Source organism: Homo sapiens, chromosome 11 (genome assembly GCF_000001405.40).
Source record: "Homo sapiens chromosome 11, GRCh38.p14 Primary Assembly".
Lineage (NCBI taxonomy): Eukaryota > Metazoa > Chordata > Mammalia > Primates > Hominidae > Homo > Homo sapiens.
The window spans coordinates 32,484,978-32,486,342 of NC_000011.10; the positions used below are offsets into that span (position 1 = coordinate 32,484,978).

General features: G+C 45.3%; 1 annotated feature.

Annotated features, from left to right (window-relative positions):
* Window positions 852-1,052: a silencer, noted in NCBI's record as "peak1243 fragment used in MPRA reporter construct". NCBI's record gives its function as "represses an SCP1 promoter by STARR-seq MPRAs in K562 erythroleukemia cells {active_cell/tissue: K562}" and the evidence as "EXISTENCE:reporter gene assay evidence [ECO:0000049][PMID:32103011]".

A 1,365-nucleotide genomic window follows, 5' to 3' on the forward strand; every position in this document is an offset into this window, starting at 1 on the left:
AGTTGAAAGTGTTTTGTATTTTTAGTAAAGACAGCGTTTCACCATGTTGGCCAAGGTGGTTTCGAACTCCTGACCTCAAGTGATCTGTCCGCCTTGGCCTCCTAAAGTGCTGGGATTACAGGTGTGAGCCACTGCACCTGGCCCAAACTGTGTTCTAATAGGATTGTTGGTCTCAACCAGGGAGGCTGAACAAATGTTCATTTCTAGCACATCTGACTTAGAGAGCCCAGTATTGTGCTGGGCAGTGGGGCACACAGGGAACCAAACCCACTTTCTGCCCTTCAGGAGTTCTGATGGGAAATAGACTTATAAATATCTATATTTGAAAATGGTAAGTTCATTTTGTGAAAGTATTATAGAAGCAGAATAACCATAGTTTGGGGTGTTGAGGGTTTGTTAGACGCTAACCAGGGGAAAGAGTGCAGACAGGACTTTCCAGGTGGAGGAAACACTGGCAGAAGTAAGGAGAGGTGAGGAAACGCTGCTCCTTGGCTGCCTGGGTTTGTCTCAGCTCCGCATCTTCTCTTTGTGTTTGGCTTTCTCCCAAGGAGGAACACTGAGGCACCAAGAGAGACCCTCAGAAACTCCAGGTTCAAGCCTCCTATTCTTCTTTTCCACATTGATGGGGAAGGTATCCACGTGTTTTGAAGCCAGAAAAAAATAGTACTTTACAATAAAGGGAGAAAAGGTTTAGAAGGGTTAGAAAATGGAAAATTGGGGCACAGAGCCAGTGATAAGTCAGTTTTATATTGCACATAGCGATTGCTCCTGGAGTCATCACAGGAGTGTTTATAATCAGGATAAATCAACGCTTTGGATGAATTCCTGTGATTCTTCTGTTTCTGGAAAGCCAGATTACCTCTGTCTTCTGAAGATCTGCAAGAGATTTGTCCTCACATGGAAGAGACCTGAGAGTAGGGCTGATATGCAAAATATTTAACCACTGTACCGTGCATACCTGACCAATCAGAAACCACACAGTCTGGAGACACTGGAGACGGCCAGCCCAAGTGTGTACAGGCTGAATCCCAAACCTGTCTTTGAGACCATCATATTCAACCCTCTGTTTTGCAGAAGAGATCCCAAGTTTCCTGGGATCACCATCTAGCCCTCTCCACTGCAACCCGTAGCCTCAAAGTCCATGTAAGAGAAGTGCAGGACCTGATTAGGTCTACCCCAGACTTGATTCACATCCAAGGCTGCCTGTGGAGAGGATGTCTTATTCTTTAATTGTTTATTTAAAAAAAATTTTTTAGAGACAAGGTCTCACTTTGTCACCCAGGCTGTAGTGCAGTGGTGTAATCATAGCTCACTATAACCTCGAACTCTTGGGCTCAAGCGAGCCTCCTGCCTCAGACTCCTGAG